At 43.8% G+C, this 19,021-nt stretch overlaps 1 protein-coding gene and 1 long non-coding RNA gene across 12 annotated transcripts in view; both read left to right on the forward strand.

The window, feature by feature from the left end:
- The window catches only part of MAMLD1 (mastermind like domain containing 1), a 152,602-nt gene that overhangs the window by 119,428 nt on the left and 14,153 nt on the right, over window positions 1-19,021 (forward strand). The gene's annotated exons all lie outside the window — the stretch shown is intronic.
- On the forward strand, window positions 1,499-18,415 carry LOC124905223 (uncharacterized). Its single transcript, XR_007068346.1, has 2 exons — window positions 1,499-2,380; window positions 3,961-18,415. It is a non-coding gene; the product is annotated as an uncharacterized LOC124905223 (long non-coding RNA).

A 19,021-nucleotide genomic window follows, 5' to 3' on the forward strand; every position in this document is an offset into this window, starting at 1 on the left:
GAGACACATATTCTTCTGCAGGCCCATGTCGGGGTGGCCCATGAAGAGAATTTGCCAAAGCCAGCTGGCTCAGCAGACCAACAGATGAAGGTGGACTACTCATTTGCAATTGTGATTAATGATCATTTATTTCCATGTGACAAAGCTTTGAACGATGTGGGAGGCCCTCACCCATCCCTGAGTGGGAATAACTGGGAATGATTCCATGACCCTTTCCCTTTATCTGGCAATCCTTTCAAAGATGAGCTCTGGAAAATGTGAACAGACAATGCACTCCACTATAGCTTTCTAGTTTCACATCTTCAAACACCAAAATGTTGACACCCATTGGGATGGTTATTATAAACACATACACACAGAGAGAGAAAATAACAAGTGATGGTGAGGATGTGGAGAAATTGGAACCCTTGTGCATTGTTGGTGGGAATGTGAAATAGTGCAGCCACTGTGGAAAAAAGTACGGCAGTTCCTCAAAAAATTACACAGAGAAATACCGTATGATCCAGTGATTCCACTTCTGGGTATATGCCTAAAAGAATCGAAAGCAAGGCTGGACACAGTGGCTCACACCTGTAATCGCAGCACTTTGAGAAGCCGAGGTGGGAGGATCGCTTGAGGCCAGGAGTTCAATGCCAGCCTGGGCAACATAGTGAGATCCCACCTTTACAAAAAATTACAAAAATTAACCAGGCATGGTGGCGTTGCCTGCAGTTTCAGCTACTCCGGAGGCTGAGGTGGGAGGATTGCTTGAGACCAGGAGGTTGAAGCTGCAGTGAGCTGTGATCACTGCCCTGCACTCCAGCCTGGGTGACATAGAGAGACCCCATCTCAAAAAATAAAAAAAAAGAAAGAAAGAAAGAGAGAAAGAAAGAAAGAAAAAGAAAGAGAGAAAGAAAGAAAGAAAGAGAGACAGAGACAGAGACAGAGAAAGTAAGAAAGAAAGAAAAAAGAAAGAAAGAAAGAAAAAAGAAAGAAAGAAAGAAAGAAAGAAAGAAAGAAAGAAAGAAAGAAAGAAAGAAAGAAAGAAAGAAAGAATTGAAAGCAGGGGCTCAACCAGTTATCTGTTCATAGCAGTTTTGTTCACAATAGTCAAAAGAGAGAGACAACCCAAATGTCCATCAGCTGGTAAATAAATTAAAAAAATGCAGCATGCCCATACAATAGAATATTATTCAGCCTTAAAAAGGAAGGAAATTCTGACATGTGCTATAACATGGATGATCACTGAAGGCATTAAGCTAAGTGAAACAAGCCAGCCACCAAAGGACAAATATTGTATCATTCCACTCATGTGAGGTCCCTAGAGTAGTCCAATTCATGGAGAAAGGCAGATAGAACTGTGAGTGACAGGGGCTAGGGGAGGGAGGAAATTAGGAGTGCATGTTTAATGGGGACAGAGTTTCAGTACAGGAAAATGAAAAAGTTCTGGAGATGGATGGTGGTGATAGTTGCACAACACTGTGAGTGCACTTAATGCCACTGAATTGCACACTTAAAAATTGTTAAAATGGTACATTTTATACATATTTTTACCACAATGAAAAAGTAAAGGCTGCAATTTTAAAACACTTGCTAGTCCTCTCCTAATCAAAAGCAGTCTTTTCTTTTGCAATAATATTAGTGTACAATCTAAAAGAAGCAGCAAGCTGAACTGCTCATTTTCCATCCCTGGTAAGAGCAGTATTTACTGCACATCCACTCATCATGTTGTATGGGCCATCTGGGTTTTTTGTATGTCTTACTGAGGTGCATGTTTGTTAAATGCACAGGCATAACCAGAAATAACTTTCCTGGAAAATTGAGCATAATGGCTGTCCCTCTCTTGACATTTTGGAGAAATGATAATACGTAGGTGGGGGAAACAAAGAAGTGACTGTAAACAAGAACGGACATTATCTCTGCTTCTGAATGAGATGAGAAACCCACTTGCTTCATTAGCTCTCTGGTATATCTGCAAGTCTGGAAACACCGGGATGACTCACAGTTTGCTGAGTAATACAGGAGCCGACAGAATGCTGCTAGTGACTCGCCATCTCTGACTGGCTTTCTGTGCAAACTGTCACTCTAGAGCAAGTGCTAGGCCTTGGAATAGAGTTCTGAAAAAGGTTACGGTTCTCAACTACAGGGAGAACCAGCTCCTAAGGCCTTGACACTGGTACACAAAGTAGGACACCTCTGACCAATGCCAAAATGACTTTTAGAAAGTTCACACCTGGTCATTGTGTCCCTGCTCATGCTCCAGCTCACAAGATCTCTGGTTTCTGCCTTTCAGGGTGTGGTGATGTCCACTTCTTCATCAGAGTTCTTTGTGACTTGTCTGCTTCTCCACTTGGTAGTAAACTCCTCAGGCATAGGAAGACGTCTTCGCTAGCTCTGTAATGTAAGCTGAATGATCCTTGGAATGAATGAGTAGAATATAGAGGGGAATGAACCAATGAATGAGCTGTATCTGCTAGCCATTGCGGAATGCTAAGTTTTGGAAACTGTTTTGAGCATTTTAGAGGAAGTATTGATAGACACTCTCAGTCTTCAAGGCTTGGAGGCCGATGAACCCATATTCTTGCACTGGGCAGAAAGGAGAACTTTGCATCTGCATGTAGGGCCCATTTACCCACTGACCATGATGCATTTCTCTGGTCCAGTTAAGCTCCTTATCCTTCTATAGCACTTGTGCAATGTCTGAAAACATGTGATTTCTTCAACTTCCAACAAGTACACAATTTTATACCGCCAGTGGTAATTTGTCCTGGTGGTTCTGTTGTTTCTGCTGTTGTTGTTGTTGTCGTCATTTAATGCAATTTACAAGGACAAAACAAAACTTCTGGCTGCCATTTCACATACCACAGTGACAGCTTCACATGGTAAGAAAAGCCAAAAACAGCTAGTTTCGAAATTCAGGCCACTCATTTTATTACTTTTCCCTGATTAAGATTCATTCATACCACTTTGGGGTGGTGCTGATATTCCTAACATAAGCCAATCGATTTTGGTCAGTTCTGAGAGCAGTGAGTGGTCTTCACTTACACACAGTGTGTTTGTAACTCTGCTATTTCTTTATGACTAGCACAGTATAAAGTGAACGTTTTTGGAAGGCTGTTAAGCATATGTTCTCCTGGTAGGCTTAAATGTGACTTATAAAAATACTTGATAGTATATGAACAAGCTCCCACTACTGGTTTAAACCAAAAAAAAGAGGTTTATTTTACTAGTTCATAAGCACAGATTCTACATTCTTTGTGAGAATTATCTTTTTAGGTTTTTGTTTTTATTTGTTCTTATCATTTTGATAGCCATTTTAATCATTTCTTTTATTCTTTTGTTTGCTTTGTTGACTTTTAATTTGGAAATGTCTGCTTTGGCAGAATAATTACATCACAAGGAGGCCCTTTCCCCACCCACCTACCCAGAAAGGTCTCCTGACTCCCTTATGCTCTATGAATTGCCCTAGTTCAAGATTGATACAGATCAAAGCAGCAGAATGGGGTTGAAAGAGCAGCCTCTGGCAATGGCCTTGACCATGTCAATTCCCTGTGCATTCATATAGATCTGGAATCATGTAGATCTATTCTGCCCAGCTTGTTCCACAGCAGCTGGTGGGCAGAACCACTCTTCCAAGCCGTGTAGTTATTCTGCACTGCAAGAGGCAAGATTACAACCGAGGACTCATTCATTAATAAAATTGTTTAAGTTGGCTTTCTGAATGACAACGTGGTCTCAGGAACTTAAAAGACTTCACCAAGTCCCTGCTGCAAACAAAAAGTCTGCATTGTGATTTGTCAGAGCTAGATTGACATCCAGTTTAGAGTTTAGAATCCTTCTCCATGCCCCACTTTTGAGACAAATTACAAATCTTGAGGTTCATCAACATTCTAGTACAATATGACCCCCCAAGGTTTAAGAGCCCTTTAGAGATTTGAAGACAACTGTGATGTTCCCACTAACTCTCCCTCCTTCCCCCAGTTCTTTGCCCCTATCTTGGCTGCTGGCCTCTGAACTCATCACAGAGCACTGGAGTGAGGGCCTCTGGGTAAGTAAGGCTCTGCTAAACTGATCAAATGCTCCACGTACATTTGTCCCAGTAGAGAGGAAAGCTCCTCTTTTCCAAACAATCTACTTTATTCCTGCTCCCCTACATCCCACTTGCAAGGGTAGCAGCCACATCCCCCATCTGTCCTGCCCGAGCTCATTGTCCAAGCCAACTCCAGCTCAGAAATTTCCCCCAGAGAAGAGGTTCCTGAAGGCTAAGCATTGCTCTGTAACCCTGAACTTGATTTATGTCTATTTCTCACTCTCTCATTATATAAAGTTTTTCAAATAATATTAGACTAGGAATTGAGAAAGAGAATGAGCTCTCACAATTGTTTCTAGAGCCATCACAATCCTACCCAGCAACACCTTTTACGGGCTTTTAATTTTTTTGTTTACAGTTATTACCTTTGAAACCAAATCTTGACTTTCTGGTATGCTCTTGGACTTTTTAAGGGATTTAAAAATTCAGGAGTTTGATGCCAATAATTGCTTTTATGAGCTAGCATTGCTTCTTTTCTATAGATGAATCCCATTTTAAATCATCAATTATTTTCTTCACAGAAACCCACAAAGTACATATTCTAGTTTGCATCAGAATTGAATATGACCCAGAAATTCTTAATGTTATTAAGCTAGACTATTGTATCTAAAATGTGTATCACATTCAACTAATGCATATTGAAGATCTTGAGTACCACACTTGAGATCTGAATGAAGAGCCCAGGATTGTGATATTTGATCCATACTGAATGTATTTGCTAGAGTGCATTGTACAGATGGTTCAGGTGTGTTAGATTTGTCTCTGTAAATGAATTGGTCAGTAGATAAAAGAACATGACTCAAGGCTGAGCAGGGTTCAGCAGGCCCCAAGCTTCATCATTAAAAATCGGGTGTTTTTTAATATGAGGCTGGCTGTGTAAAGCAGACCTCATGAACTCAGGGGTCTGAGAGGCCAGGCCAGATTATCAGTTGGGATGTTTTCAGTCCCAATTAGCAGACAGCGCAGTTCACACTGGCTTAAACAATAAAGGGGACTTACTGATTCCTGAAAGTTAAAGTCCAGCGGTTGGGTGGACTTCAGGGTTGGTTTGAATCAACAGTTCCTCAGTGTCATCAAAGATGCTGTTTCTTTCTGGCTGTCTACTCTGCCTTCAGTGGCATGAGCCTCATCCTAAGGCTGGCTCCCCCTTGTGGGCACAAGATAGTGCCAGCAACTCCAGAGGCTACAAATTTCCTCCTGCCCCATTCAGAGAGCAGGAGAATGGCTTCTAGAATCTCTGTCAGAAGAGCCAGGAAGCTTCTTTCCCAGAAGCCCCCCCAGATTTCATGCTTTTTAGTCTGAATGGATCCAACGCCTACTAGCCTACTGTGCTGCTTCATGTCAGCTGTGTCCCCCGCTAGAACCTTGTGTGGAGCCAGGTTCCTCCTAAGCACAGAGGTGGTATGGGCCAAACGAAGCTGCCTAAATGAAAATGGGGAAAGGTGTCAAGAGAAGGAAGACTTAGTGCTGGCAACCAACAGTATTTGTTGCAATCAATCTCTTGGCCATCCTCATTCATACACACCTTCCTTCCCACGCATACACCTCCCAAAATGCCCACACTTAGGGAAAACCTATTTACCCCTTTCCCAAAGGGATCCAACTCCAATCCGGAAACCCTAGGTGATGTGTCATCCTCTGAATTTGGTCAGTATATAGCTCTTCATGTTTCAGGGACCACTGGTCACCATGCTCACCTTGGCATAGAAAGTAAGAGTGCAATAAAAAGAAAAAAAAATTTCAATTGGGAAAGAGGAAGTTGGAAAGCAGCACACGGTGGTCACTGATCCATCATCCATATCACATCCTGCTGGACAGCAGTAGCAAGGCTTGACCAGGGGTCAGACTCAGTTTCCTATTCTGTATAATGAGAGGATTGGATTAAATTAGTGGTTCTCACATTGGAATGTGGCCTGGAGAGCTTGTTAAAATGCAGATTACTGGGTTCCATCCCCAGAGTTTCTGACTCCACAGATACAGGTGGGGCCCTGGAATTTGCATTTGTAATAGATTTCCAGGGGCTGCTGCTGCTGCTGCTGCTGCTAGTACAAGGACACCCCTGCCCTTCCACTTTGAGAACCTCTGATTTAGATTATCCTTATGGGCCCTTCTGATTCTGACATTTAGGACTCAGGGATTTTTCTTAGCTATCTCTTCTGCTCTATACTGACTTATGATGGATTGTTTTATAAATGGGACACACCCAACTCTACTGTGTGAACAACTTAAAAACATATCATGGAATTCCTGCTTTGGTTTGTAATCTAATTTTCAACAATTGAGGCTGAAAATGAAGGACACCTTACAGCTTCAGGAAAGTAAATTTTCTGGAATTGAAGAAATTAGAAACAGAAAGATAAAGGCTTTCCCATCCTCCCCAACCCCATCTACTACAGCACAGCGGTCTGTGGGATGATTCCACGTGACTGCAGAAAGCAGCTCTTTTCCCAAGGACATCCAACATTTTGCAAGCATTCTCCCTATGTGACCCGGGTATTCATTGGGTCTTAGAATAGGAGTAGCACTGGGTGAAGCTGTGACATAGATCAAGTTGGTTTAGGAATTTTGCCAACTTTCTTCCCCAGGGCCCCTCACCTGGCCAACATCTATTCATCCTCAGGTCACAGCTTAAACCTCATGTCCTCCAAGGAGCCTCCTCTAACCAACGCCCCACCCCAGCCTAAGTCAGGTTCTCCTGTTCTTTGTTCTCTAGTGTCCTACAATGTTCCTTTATAGCACTTACCAGCCTTTGTTAAAAATCCTCACTGACGTGCTCCACCATCTGCCTTGTCCATCAATGTTTTCACAACACAGGTCCTGGATCACTGTAAATGCTCAGTAAATGTGTGTTGCACAAGTGCTATCAAAGGCAGACTGGGAGCAGATTCCAGTCACAGTATTTTATTACAGTGGTGAACTATCAAGCAATCTATATAACACATCCCACAGTGTATGATTATGCATGCTCCAAAGGAATGAAACATAAGTCTTCAGAAGACACAAACACACAGCTGGAGAGTCCCAGTGTCCCTGGCATCTACAGCCAACTTTTTCATGGCCCTCCCCCTTCTCTCTGGGAAGCTGGTGCCTTCCAGTGCCCAAGGTATCTCTCTACCAGGCACCCTGGGCATTGGCCCAGCTCCCTCTTCCCCCATGCCCATTTGGGTTGTTGATTGACACTTAGGTGAAGACAATAGAAGACCCTCCAGCTTACAGAGTGCCCAACTCAGCAGGGCCTGGAGAGCTAATCTGGGTCAACACCACATTTTTCCCCTGAGAAAGTGGGAGTCCAGCAAGGCTGTAAAATGATGAGCTCCAAATAACAGCCTGAGTCTCCTGACTTCTGGCTGCATCTTGAATGCATCTGCAGGCAGCTTCAAATGTGAGAATAAGATATGAACTTATGACACTCTATAGTTTATCACCATTGCTATAATTCTCTGCCACTAAATATAATTTTACCATTAAATCAAACCAAACCAAACACTTAAAATAATTTCTTTAGAGAAGCCAGATTATTTATTACAAATAACGTCTACAAACTGACTAAAAGTATATCCCACATATATTGAATTTGAAGACTGTGCCTAAGTTTAAGGTAATTGATGGATTCCATTCTCATTAGATATTCACACATCAAAAAAGTTGTCTGCTTTCCCAGGCACAGTGGTAGGTTATGCTTATGCTCATCGTTTTTCTTCCCAGAGCTGGCTCTTCCTTTGAAACAGACCCATATAAGCCACCCATTTGCTGGGTCGCAAGCCCTTCATGAGGGAGAGAGAAGTATGGTGGGACACCAGCACCTTCTCTACAGAAACGAGCAGCATGTTTGCTAAGGGCTGCTGGACTTTGGCAGGTAGAGACCATCAGAGGACTCAACTGAATCCCCTTTTATCAGGAACCCTAGGAGAGTAGAGTTGTCAGGAGTTTCCCCATGACTTACATTGTCTTTTTTAAAACAACCAATTCATGACTGAGGTGAAGAAGGAAAATAACAGAAAAATATATCTAGCCCAAGAAATCTACAGAATAACAATAAAACTCAGGCAGAAATGAACCCACTGATCTGTGAGCCAAGTGCTTAAGGGAGGGGTTGGGGCACTTCTCATGTGGCTCACTGTCTTAGTCAGTTCAGGCTGCTATGACAAAATACCATAGGCTGGGTGGCTTAGAGACAATGGAAATGCATTATGCATAGTTCTGGAGGCTGGGAACTTCAAGATCAAGACACTGGCAGATTCAGTGTCTGGTGAGAGCTCTCTTCCTGATTAGTAGATGGTGCCTTCTTGCTGCATTCTCATGTGATGGAAGAGTCAAGGTAGCTTCCTTGGGCTTCTTCTTATAAGGGCACTAATCTCATTCAGGAGAGCTCCACCCCATCATCTAATCACCTCCTCAAGGTCTTGCCTCCTAATGACATCATATTGTGGGTTAGGTTTCAACATATGAATTTGGGGGGACACAAATACTAGGTAGGTGCAAAAGTAATTGCGGTTTTTACCATTAAAAGTAATGGCAAAAACCGCAATTACTTTTGCACCAGCCTAATATTATACCACAGCTCTCTCTGTGGTTGTTCACTGGGGCAGTGGGGGTGTGGCAGAGGGGTGAGGGAAAAAGGGTTCCCTCGATGTTTGTGGTAGAAAGAAGAGCTAGGTAACCAAGTACTCCTTTTTGTCTGCTTAGGTCTGCCAAAAGTCAGGCACCCGTATCGGGTTAGACATTCAAGGAATGTACTGGGGGAAATGCCTGTGAAAGATAAACAGGGAAGAGCAAGAGAAGGTGGGGAGAGACTCAGACCACAATGCAGGTGGTCTGTGACAATTGGGGCGAGAAAGAGGATTGGGTAAGAAGAGTCTCAGACAGTAGCACAGTTCAGGAAAAGTTCAACCAGGCCAATAGAGAGTCCTTGAGCCAAAGTCACCTACTGGAGGAGTCCTGCTCCTCACAGAAATGGGCCTGCATTACTATGCTCACCATGTTCAGTCATTGGCCGGGAGTACAGCCCAGGCCAAGTGCAGCAAAAATGATGGATCTAAGGGGGAGGCTGCTGGAGGCAATTATGTTTCCCATGGCAGGAGATGTCAGCAGCCACTGGTATGGTCACCACATCCTTCCATTGGTAGTTGTGGGTGGGAAGGCAGAGTCCCTGGCAGGCAGTAGACAGCTACAGGAACAGAAACTGGTGGTAGAATTAGACTGACTACTTTGGATAACAAAGCCAAGGCTGGCTTGACTGGCTGATAGCTAGACTATTTCTTTGTTACTTTGTCACTCAGTGTTTAGATTGTTGTTTTTCCCCCTTTCCATTGTTTGTCAAATTCCCCATCTGAACCCAGGTCTGGAAAAATAAAACCCTATGCATTTGGAAGAACTTTAAAATGAATTAGCTTTTAGGCTTTAGTTGCCATCATAAGCATCTAGAGATATTCAGGCCTCGGAGTTGGGGCAGACTGGAGAAACTAAGGTTATTTGAGAAATAAGCACACTGAATATTTGGCTTCCTAATTATTCTACAAGGAGTCTAAGTTTTGCCTGCCTTGTGCCTATGAATCACTATTTCTTAATTTTCTTAGTTTCACAGAATCAGAGGACATGAATACTGAAAGATATTGGAGGTTGTCTAGTTCGACTACATCATTGTAGGGAAACTGTGGCCATAAAAGGGGAAGGTACACCAATATTCCTTATGAATCAAGACATAAAAATCTTCAACAAAATACTAGCAAACTCAACCCAGCAACATTTGTATAAAGGATTATACACCATGACCAAGTGAGATTTATCCCTGGAATACAAGGCTGGTTCAGTCTATGAAAAGCAATCAATGTAACACACTATATTAACAGAGTAAAGGACAAAAAATGCATGATCATCTCAATAGATGTAAAAAGGAAAGGGACTTTCTCAAGTTCACACGGCTAATGGCAAAGCTGAGATTAAAACTCAGGTCATCTGACTTGTAGGCCAGAGTTCTTTATACTGGTGAGGGTAGGGGTGGAGGGCTGAACCGGACCTTGCAAGACTGTCCACTGCACTGAATCCTGTACTGAGGGATTTCTGTTTGTTTTTTCATCCTGTCCTCACAACACCCCCAAGCAGTGGGCTCCGTTGTTATTCCCCCTCCTTTTGCATGAGGAAACTGAGGCTTAGAGAGGTAACACTGGTTGTCTGAGGTCATACAGCTGCCAAGTATATGAGGAGCTAAGCCTAGATTTCAGGTCTCCTGCCTTGTCTCTGATATTTTCCAGTGCCCGCCACTGCTCTCCTCACTCAACAGTGCCACAGGATTAACCTGGTTCCATTGGTTCTCAGATCACCTACTGCCAAGCACAGTGGATGGGCTTTTTGTTGTAAGTGGATGGGAGTGCCCTCCAAATTCTCTGGAAGAATAGCCTCCTCTCCTGTGCCAGTGTGTGACAATTCTCAGAGCCCCAGCTGTTGACCTCACTGTAATCTGGGCTAAGTGGCCATTTATATACACTAATGACTAGAAGGTCTTTTCAAGGAATGGAGGACCACAAAGAAGCAGGCAGCTCTGGGGAAGCCAGAAGCTGAATGGCTGGGAGGTGGGGCAGGGGCAGGGGACAGTGGGGATAAGATAGAAACAAGGCTGTTCTTTGCTCCTTGAGAAGCTGGGTAACAAGCTGGCTTGGCTTCTGGTGGAGTCTGGCCCAGTGATAGCTCTTGCCTCCTGATGGGACAAAAAAGGGGAGACAGGCATCTCAGAGAATGAGGTGGAGAGAGACACAACTGGGCCAGGACCCAGAAAAGAGAGTTACCTTTTTCGTCTCAGACCTGGGCATCCCAGATGGAACCGTGCTGAGCTTCTGGTTAGTCTAGCTTCCTCCAGGTGTGCAACACAGGGGTCCTGCTAGGGAGCCTTCCCAGTTGAGATTAAGGAGGTTGCTTTCAAAATGGCCAGCTGCCCAAGATTGCACCTCTGTCACTGTTGAGGACAGTGGGGGTAAACATGCCTGATGTTCTGCCCTGGAAGGGCTCCAGAGCCTTTGGATTGAAGCCACAAAGGAGGCCTGGCATTTGGCTACCATTCCTTCATCTGGTTCACTATCAAGGATCCCTCATCTCACCCATTCTGCTCCCCCGTTCTAATGTGGGCTTCCATAAGCCTCTGTCCCATCTTCCAAAATGCAGTCTGGAGAGCGAGGCACCAAGGCTGCAGGCCATTTGCAGGGCACAGCCCTGGAGGCTAAAGTGGAGGTGCAGTGGCTTTCCTAACACTGGTCTGCATGTTGAACTCAGAAATACACGGTACCCTTTTCAGCAAGAATCAAAGCAAGGTTGAAACAGGCCAGCAACGTATGGGACACTTTCTTCTCTTCCCTTTCGTGAAATTTGCTTCTTGTATAGATCTGTTTTCACCAGGAAATGAATCAAAGCCGCATACTCTGCCTTCCATCCTTCTCTTCTCTTCTCTCTTCAGGTCTTTCAGACCAGGGAAAGTGGCTGCCTTTGGGATAGTCACAACAAGGTGCCCTGGACTGAAAATTGAGAGTGATGAGTTACACTCTGCCCTGGCTTGGGGCAAGGCCCTTTCCTGCCATGAGTTTCAGTGTCCCCACCTACCAAGTGGGGAGTTGGTGTCAGACAATGTTTCTTAGTGGGTGGCATTCCAGGAGTCCACACACAAAGGCTAAGTCCCTGCAAAACAGTGCAGATAGATGCTTTCTGTAGGTCTTGCTGACTCTCATACTCTCTGTCTTTAACTCGCTTGGCAATTCTTGAGCAAACCATTGGGCCTCTTCATCTACAGAGAATGATGACCTGACTAGGTGATCTCTCATTTCTCCTCAAGTTACAAAAGCGTTAGGGTGGTAAGGAGAGGAGGTGGCCCCAGGAAAACCAGATGGGTCAGAAGAAGACAGAAGGTGGAGCCTTCAGTGACAGGAGAGCAGAGAATGATGTCCCCCTCCCATAAATGTAGGGAAGGAAGGATACCAGAAAGGTTACCATGAAAGAGAGGAGTAATAGGAAAGTACAGGTCATTTGTAGTTGAAATACATACTTGAGTGTCTGTGTGGACCAAATCTGGGGTGGGAAGGCAGGCTTCAAATCCTGAACCTCGGAAGGGTCGGCATTCCTGACAAGAGCTCAGAGAGCCAACACCAGACAAACTCTAAGTCCCCTGAAGAGAGTGTGCTGAGCTAGGTACTTGCAGCCTTGAACCCACCCTAATCCCCTCTGCCTGGAGCACGTCCAGAAGGAGCGTGGTTTGCTGCAGAAAAGACAAGTCAGTTAGACCAAAATTCCAAAGCAACTTTTTAAGCCTATAAATGATGATGATTTTATATAAACTTGAGTTGTTCCTTCAACATAGCACCATATTTTCTACTTATGTGATTCTGGTTTTCTCTAAAGGAAATCTTTTTTTGGAATCCACACCATACATACGGAAGAGTATATAAAACATATAATAATAAAACCAACAGTCATGTACCCACCAACCAGGTTCAGAAATAGAACATTCAGAATGTTTTAGAAGCCCCTTGTGTGCCCCTCCCTCTTCCCAGAGATAACAACTATCCTGGCTTCCAAGAGCCAACCCTAGAAATAGACCCTAGGCTCTGGCAAGCTTTGTGCTCATCCTAGTGAGATCATGCACGTCACCAATCTCTTTAGGTAGTATTCTGTGCGGATTTCCACAGATGGCTCATCTGTTTTGTGTTGATCCTTATTAGTTTCAATTTTGTCTTTTTAAATATATTTTATGACTTTCTGATTATAAGAGTAATATGTGCTCTTTGTAGTAAACTTGGAAAATGCAGAAAAGTGGAGAGAAAACACAAACCTCATGGCATAATACAATATATAAACATTTAATATATAAATAATCCAGAAACAACTACTGTGTGAACACATTGGAGTGCAGTATTTCAGTCATTTTTTTTTCTATGTAGAAATATATGTTTCACATTACTGGTATCAAGTTGTGTATATACCTTTTCCCTTTATTGTGGAATATAACATTGATGCAGAAAAGTGTGCAAGGCCTATATGTACAGTTTAATAAGGAAGTAAAAAATGGGCCGGGCACGGTGGCTCAAGCCTGTAATCCCAGCACTTTGGGAGGCCAAGGAGGGCGGATCACGAGATCAGAAGTTCGAGACCAGCCTGGCCAAGATGGTGAAACCCAGTCTCTACTAAAAATACAAAAATTAGCTGGTCGTGGTGGTGCCTGCCTGTAATCCCAGCTACTGGGGAGGCTGAGGCAGGAGAACAGCTTGAACCCAGGAGGCGGAGGTTGCAGTGAGCCGAGATCATACCACTGCACTCCAGCCTGGGAGACAGAGCAAGACTCCGTCTCAAAAACAAACAAACAAAAAGAAGTAAAAAATTAAAACCTGCTGTCAACACTGATCAGGTCAAGAAATAGAATATTGACAACCCCCAAGTAGATCCTCATGTGACCTTCCTGATCCAAGATAATTATTCTGCTTTTCTACATAGCTTCATCACTTATTAATAGACTTAAACTTGTAATTGCTTCATTTTCAAAACCTTAGTGGCGGGGCCGGGTACGGTGGCTTACACCTGTAATCCCAGCACTTTGGGAGGCTGAGGCAGGCAGATCGCTTGAGCCCAGAGTTTGAGACCAACCTGGGCAACATGGGGAAACCCTGTCTCTACTAAAAACGCAAAAATTAGCTGGGAGTGGTGGTACAAGCCTGTAGTCCCAGCTACCTGGGAAGCTGAGGTGGCAGGATCACCTGAGCCCGCCAGGGAGGTGGAGGTTTCAGTGAGCCGTGATTGCACTACTGCACTCCAGCCTGGGTGACCAGAGTGATACCCTGCCTCAATACAAAACAAACAAACAAACAAACAAACAAAAACCTTGGCCGGGTGTGGTGGCTCACACCTGTAATCCCAGCACTTTGGGAGACCAAGGTAGGCAGATCACCTGAGGTCAGGAGTTCAAGACCAGCCTGGCCAACATGGCGAAATCCTGTCTCTACTAAAAATACAAAAATTAGCCAGGCATGGTGGCATGTGCCTGTAATCCTAGCTACTCAGGAGGCTGAGGCAGGAGAATCCCTTCAACCTAGGAGGTGAAGGTTGTGGTGAGCTGAGATTGTGCCACTACACTCCAGCCTGGGCGACAGAGTGAGATTCCGTCTCAAAACAAACAAACAAACAAACAAACAAACAACAGCAACAGCAAAAAACCTTAGTGGAAGACACAATCTAAGCATTTAAGGGAAGAGTCCCAGGCCATTAGTAGATGAAGGCTTTCAGAAGAAGAGAGGTTGACCTGTCCTGGTCATTATCTGCCTTCAGCTTCCCGGGAATGTGTAGAGCCCACCACCATCAGGACACTAGCAGAGTTGTGGACATGGTATTGGATATGCAGAAGAAATATGGCCAAAGAGATTGGACTGCCCTCTGTGTTTTGCTTTCAAGCTCACCACAGCCTGCCTCCAGTACCTCCAGTTCCCAGGTGTAGGGCAACACAGAACATCCCTGTGGGGTGAAGTGAGTGGCCTCCACTGATCCGGCCAGCAGGACCAGGAAAGCAGAGCAGGAAATTCACCAGACAAAGGGTCAAGCCAGACCTCTTCCAGGGTGGGGGACAGGCAGATGCCTGGGGACACAGAGTCAGAGAGGGGATTCAGAGATCTGCCTGCTCCTTAACCAGCTTCCAGCCCAACCCCATTACGCTGACCATGTCCCCCCATTCCACTTTACCTCCCAGATCTGGGAACATCTAGAGCTCCTCCTCCTGAGGCTTGGGAAGATTCTGCCGTATAGACCACGATCCTTTCCAGTTTTCTCCTCTGCTGTCTTGTGATTCAGCTTCCTTGGTGCTGTGTAGTCAGTTAATCCTGGTCTATCTGCATTTTAGTTTCATAAATTATGATGCTGTTATCTCCTCTCCTATTCTCTCTATCCTGGTGGGATTTTGTCTTTAAAAACAAAACAAAACACAAACTCTTACTGTAGTTTTAATGAGACTCTGGGAGGAAGAGAATTTAGATGCTTGCATTAAACTGCTGTCTAATTCCAGAAGTCTCCAAAGGAAATCCTGCCACTCCCTTCTTCGGTTGCCCGAACATGACGGTTAGTTGGATGGCTCCCTTGGAAGCCCAAGGTGCCATCAGGGAGATACTGAGAGAATTTGAGGCTGGGAAGGCAGGTGGGGGTTGGGGTGAGGGTTATGTTTTGAATATTGCTTCATATTGAAGCATTTGTAGTATTTGCGGTTAAGAGCCTGGATTTTCATGTAAGTCAACTCCAGGTTCAGCTTCCAGCTCTGCCAGTTACATATGGTGTGACTTTGAGCAAGTTACTTTGCTTTTCTGAACCTTATTTTCCCCACCTGTTAAGTGGGGATCATAATGGTACCCATCTTTCAGGCTTGCCATGGGTATTGAATGTTTCACTTAGTAAACATTTACAGCGTTTCACTCAGTGCCTGGCACATTGTATGTGTTCAATACATGGTAGCTATTGTCATCATCATTATCGTCATCATCATGAGAAAATAGAAACCTTCCAGAAACTGTCAGGGCAACGATTGCCACAGGCCGTTGTTGGCTACTAAAACTCTAGACTCTGGAGAGCCTTGATGCCCTTCCTCTTTTACCCCGTCCCTGATGCTCCCCCAAGTAGCATGATGCCCAGTGGCCCACCAACCTCATTACCCAGCATTGCTGACAACAGGCACAGCCTTGGTCACTGTGAAAATGCCCCACAGCCTCAACCTCAGAAGTGGGAAGTATACTGCAGATTCACTCTATGCCAAGCACTATGGGATATCCACAGGAATGTGCCACAGTGAGGTAACTGCCCAGGGGATAGTAATTCCTTCATTTCTTTATACATTATGGATTCTACCATTTTGTTATTGGGTTATTTTTCCCCTTGTCAAAGTAGCAATTTATCAGTTGAACTTAATTCTCTAATTAAATTTCAAATCTGAGAATTTACATGATGAAGTGAATTTGATTTTGGACCCAGTCAATTTCAGTCAGCCCTAAACATATTTTGAAATGTTAAAGTTAAATTATATACGTTTGTGGAGGAAAAACTCCAGGAAAGCCTAAATTTTTCCAGGTCTTGCTTAGGGGATACCCTGCTCCAAGAAAACTTTTACAAAATGCAAATTTACAGAACAGATCCACCAAATGGGTGGGATTGGTGCTACCCTAGAGTTTTCTGTAGAATTTCTTTTTTAAAAAATTTTTTTCTTTTTTTTCTTTTTTTTTTTTTTTTTTGAGATGGAGTCTCACTTTGTCGCCCAGGCTGGAGTGCAGTGGCGTGATCTTGGCTCATTGCAAACTCCACCTCCTGGGTTCAAGTGATTCTCGTGCCTCAGCCTCCCAAGTAGCTGGGACTACAGGCACGCACCACCATGCCCGGCTAACTTTTTGTATTTTTAGTAGAGACGGGGTTTCACCATGTCAGCCAGGCTGGTCTTGAACTCCTGTCTTCAGGTGATCCACCCACCTCAGCCTCCCAAAATGCTGGGATTACAGGTATGAGCCACTGCGCCCAGCCAGAATTTCTTTAGTGAGATTTATCTACCCCCTCCACCCACCATACCACACGTATCATAACAGAGGTCCCCCAACTTGGAGTTCTCCTCATTTCAAGGTACAGTTATTATAAAAAGAAGAGGACACCTGGGTCTCACAGCAGCCAGCTCTGCGGCCATTGCACAGTAGAACCTCAGTGGCCTTACAAAATATTCTTGCTGTTAGTCTACTTACTGCAATAACAAAAGTTTCACTTGGGCACTTTGATCACACAAAGCTTGGCACAGGCTTTGAAATCAGACAATACCTAGGTTCTAGTCTAGGCTCTGGCACTTAACTAATGGGTGATCATGGGCAGGTCGCTTAACCTTTTTGTGCCTCAGTTTCCTTATCTTTACAATGGGATTATAATAGTACCTCCTTCATAGGATTGTCCTGAGGATTCATTAATTGAAATGACCCTAGGAAAGGGTCAGTGCCTTACACTGAGTAAGTTCTCAGTAAATATTTATAATATCATCATCATCATCAATTATTATTATTATTAATTTACTTTACCAAAACACAGGTCCTGCTGAGCCATGTTGGCCAGACCACACCTAGAACAGCATGTCCAGTTTTAGGCTAATCTGTGTAAAATTCAGTGCCTGGACCATTGAAAGGGGCTCGATATATGGTGGAGGTATTATTGTTAATTAATGCTGCTGCTAACCTTCCTGGAGTGCATACAACATGCCAGGCACTGCATACGTGCTAATTCTATTAGTCCTCTTAACCTTTACCACTCTATGAATAATATACAATTATTAATCCCTTTTGCAGATGAGAAAATTAAGGCACAGAAACGTTAAGTAACTCTCCCACAATTACAAAGCATGGAAGTGGCAAACCCATAATTCAAGTCTAGACTCTCTTTTTCCAGAGCCTGGACTCTTAGCCACCATGCCAAAGAGCTGTGCTGTCCACTGCTGTAGCCAGCAGTCACATGTAACTATTTAAATTAATAAAAAATTTAAAAAACAAGAATTCAGTTCTTCATTTTTACTAGCCACATTTCAAGTGCTACACACTTCATGTGGCCAGTGGCTACCATATTGAACAGCACAGCTCTAGAGCATTCTATTCTTTCTGGGATGATTCAGCATCAACTCAGGAAGTTCTGTTGGATGGTGATGCTTACAGAGATTCTGTTTCTTACAAAATCTCAGACTTCAGTTGTACAGCTTTCTTGCATTGTTATTAATAGATGCATACTTATGATATATTGAAATCCCATTTGCACTTGGCCAAGTAGGGTAATGGCAAGAAAAAAGCCAAGAAGCGTGACTTACATTACGTTTTCCTGTTTCCCCGGTGCATTATTTCAAATTCACAAAGTTGTCTCCTATCACCTCTCTTTGATATGGGGCAGGAGGCATTCATCAACTTGCCCAAAAATCCAGGTTCTTCCACATGTCTGCCTTCACCTCTTTGGGCTATCTGGATAATATTTAGTGCTCTAGCATAGTAACCTCACAAGTGACTTGAACAACGGAGGTTGGCTTCTGAAGTCAGTGAGCCACAGAGGACCTTGGACTCTGAGCATCTTTGACACACTCATCAAGTCTCCAGTTCGCTTTCTTGGGTTTTCTCTGCTCATTTCTGTTACATGGTTAGTAAAGGCCAGGGAAAGAAAAGGTGTTGAGGATCCATTACCTTAATTCCAGAATGATTAAGTCAAGAAACCTACAAGCTCTCAGAAGCCAGTGGAATTAGAGTGCACTACTATAACCTTGCAAATGTGCATATGCCTCCTTCCGAATCACCAGAGTGGAGATTGGGCCAATATCCAATCTCGTCAATAATTTATAAAGCCAGAGCATTCATCCACTTCTTGCAAAGCAGCTGAATATCTATGGGGGTTAGTCATAATCTGAGCTCCTTGCACCAGAGCCATTTGAGCTACAGAATAGCACAGAGTGTCACAGAATAGCCAAAAGTGCAGAGTTATTTCAGTATGAAAGAAGGAGGAGCACCTGACTGCTCCTCGCCATGTGCAGAGGAGGAGCCCATGCATTTCCAAACCCAGGGGTTGCTTGGTTTCTAGCTTGGTTTCTGTCTGTACCCCATCTTGCTATTGTGTGACTTGAGTAAGCCCATCTCCACTTCCTCATCTTATTAGCTAGGAACAATCTATCTCAAATTCACATGTGCACAGAGTTCAGTGCCCAGCACACTAAAGCATGTTCAGTAAATATGTTAGCTGATGTTATTTTCACCATATGATTATGATCACTCTCTGTTCTACTGATGGGTTTTATAAACCCACCAGCATTGAAAAGAGATGAGTAGATGTGCTAAAATGAGAGTAAAGGCTCAGTTTATCATTGGTGTTTATCCCAAAAAAAAGACTAGCACAATGCTCACCAGATTATAATCTCCCAAGTGCCTAGAACATCATGCCAAGCTAGTAACATAG

The sequence above is a fragment of the Homo sapiens genome, chromosome X, assembly GCF_000001405.40.
Source record: "Homo sapiens chromosome X, GRCh38.p14 Primary Assembly".
Lineage (NCBI taxonomy): Eukaryota > Metazoa > Chordata > Mammalia > Primates > Hominidae > Homo > Homo sapiens.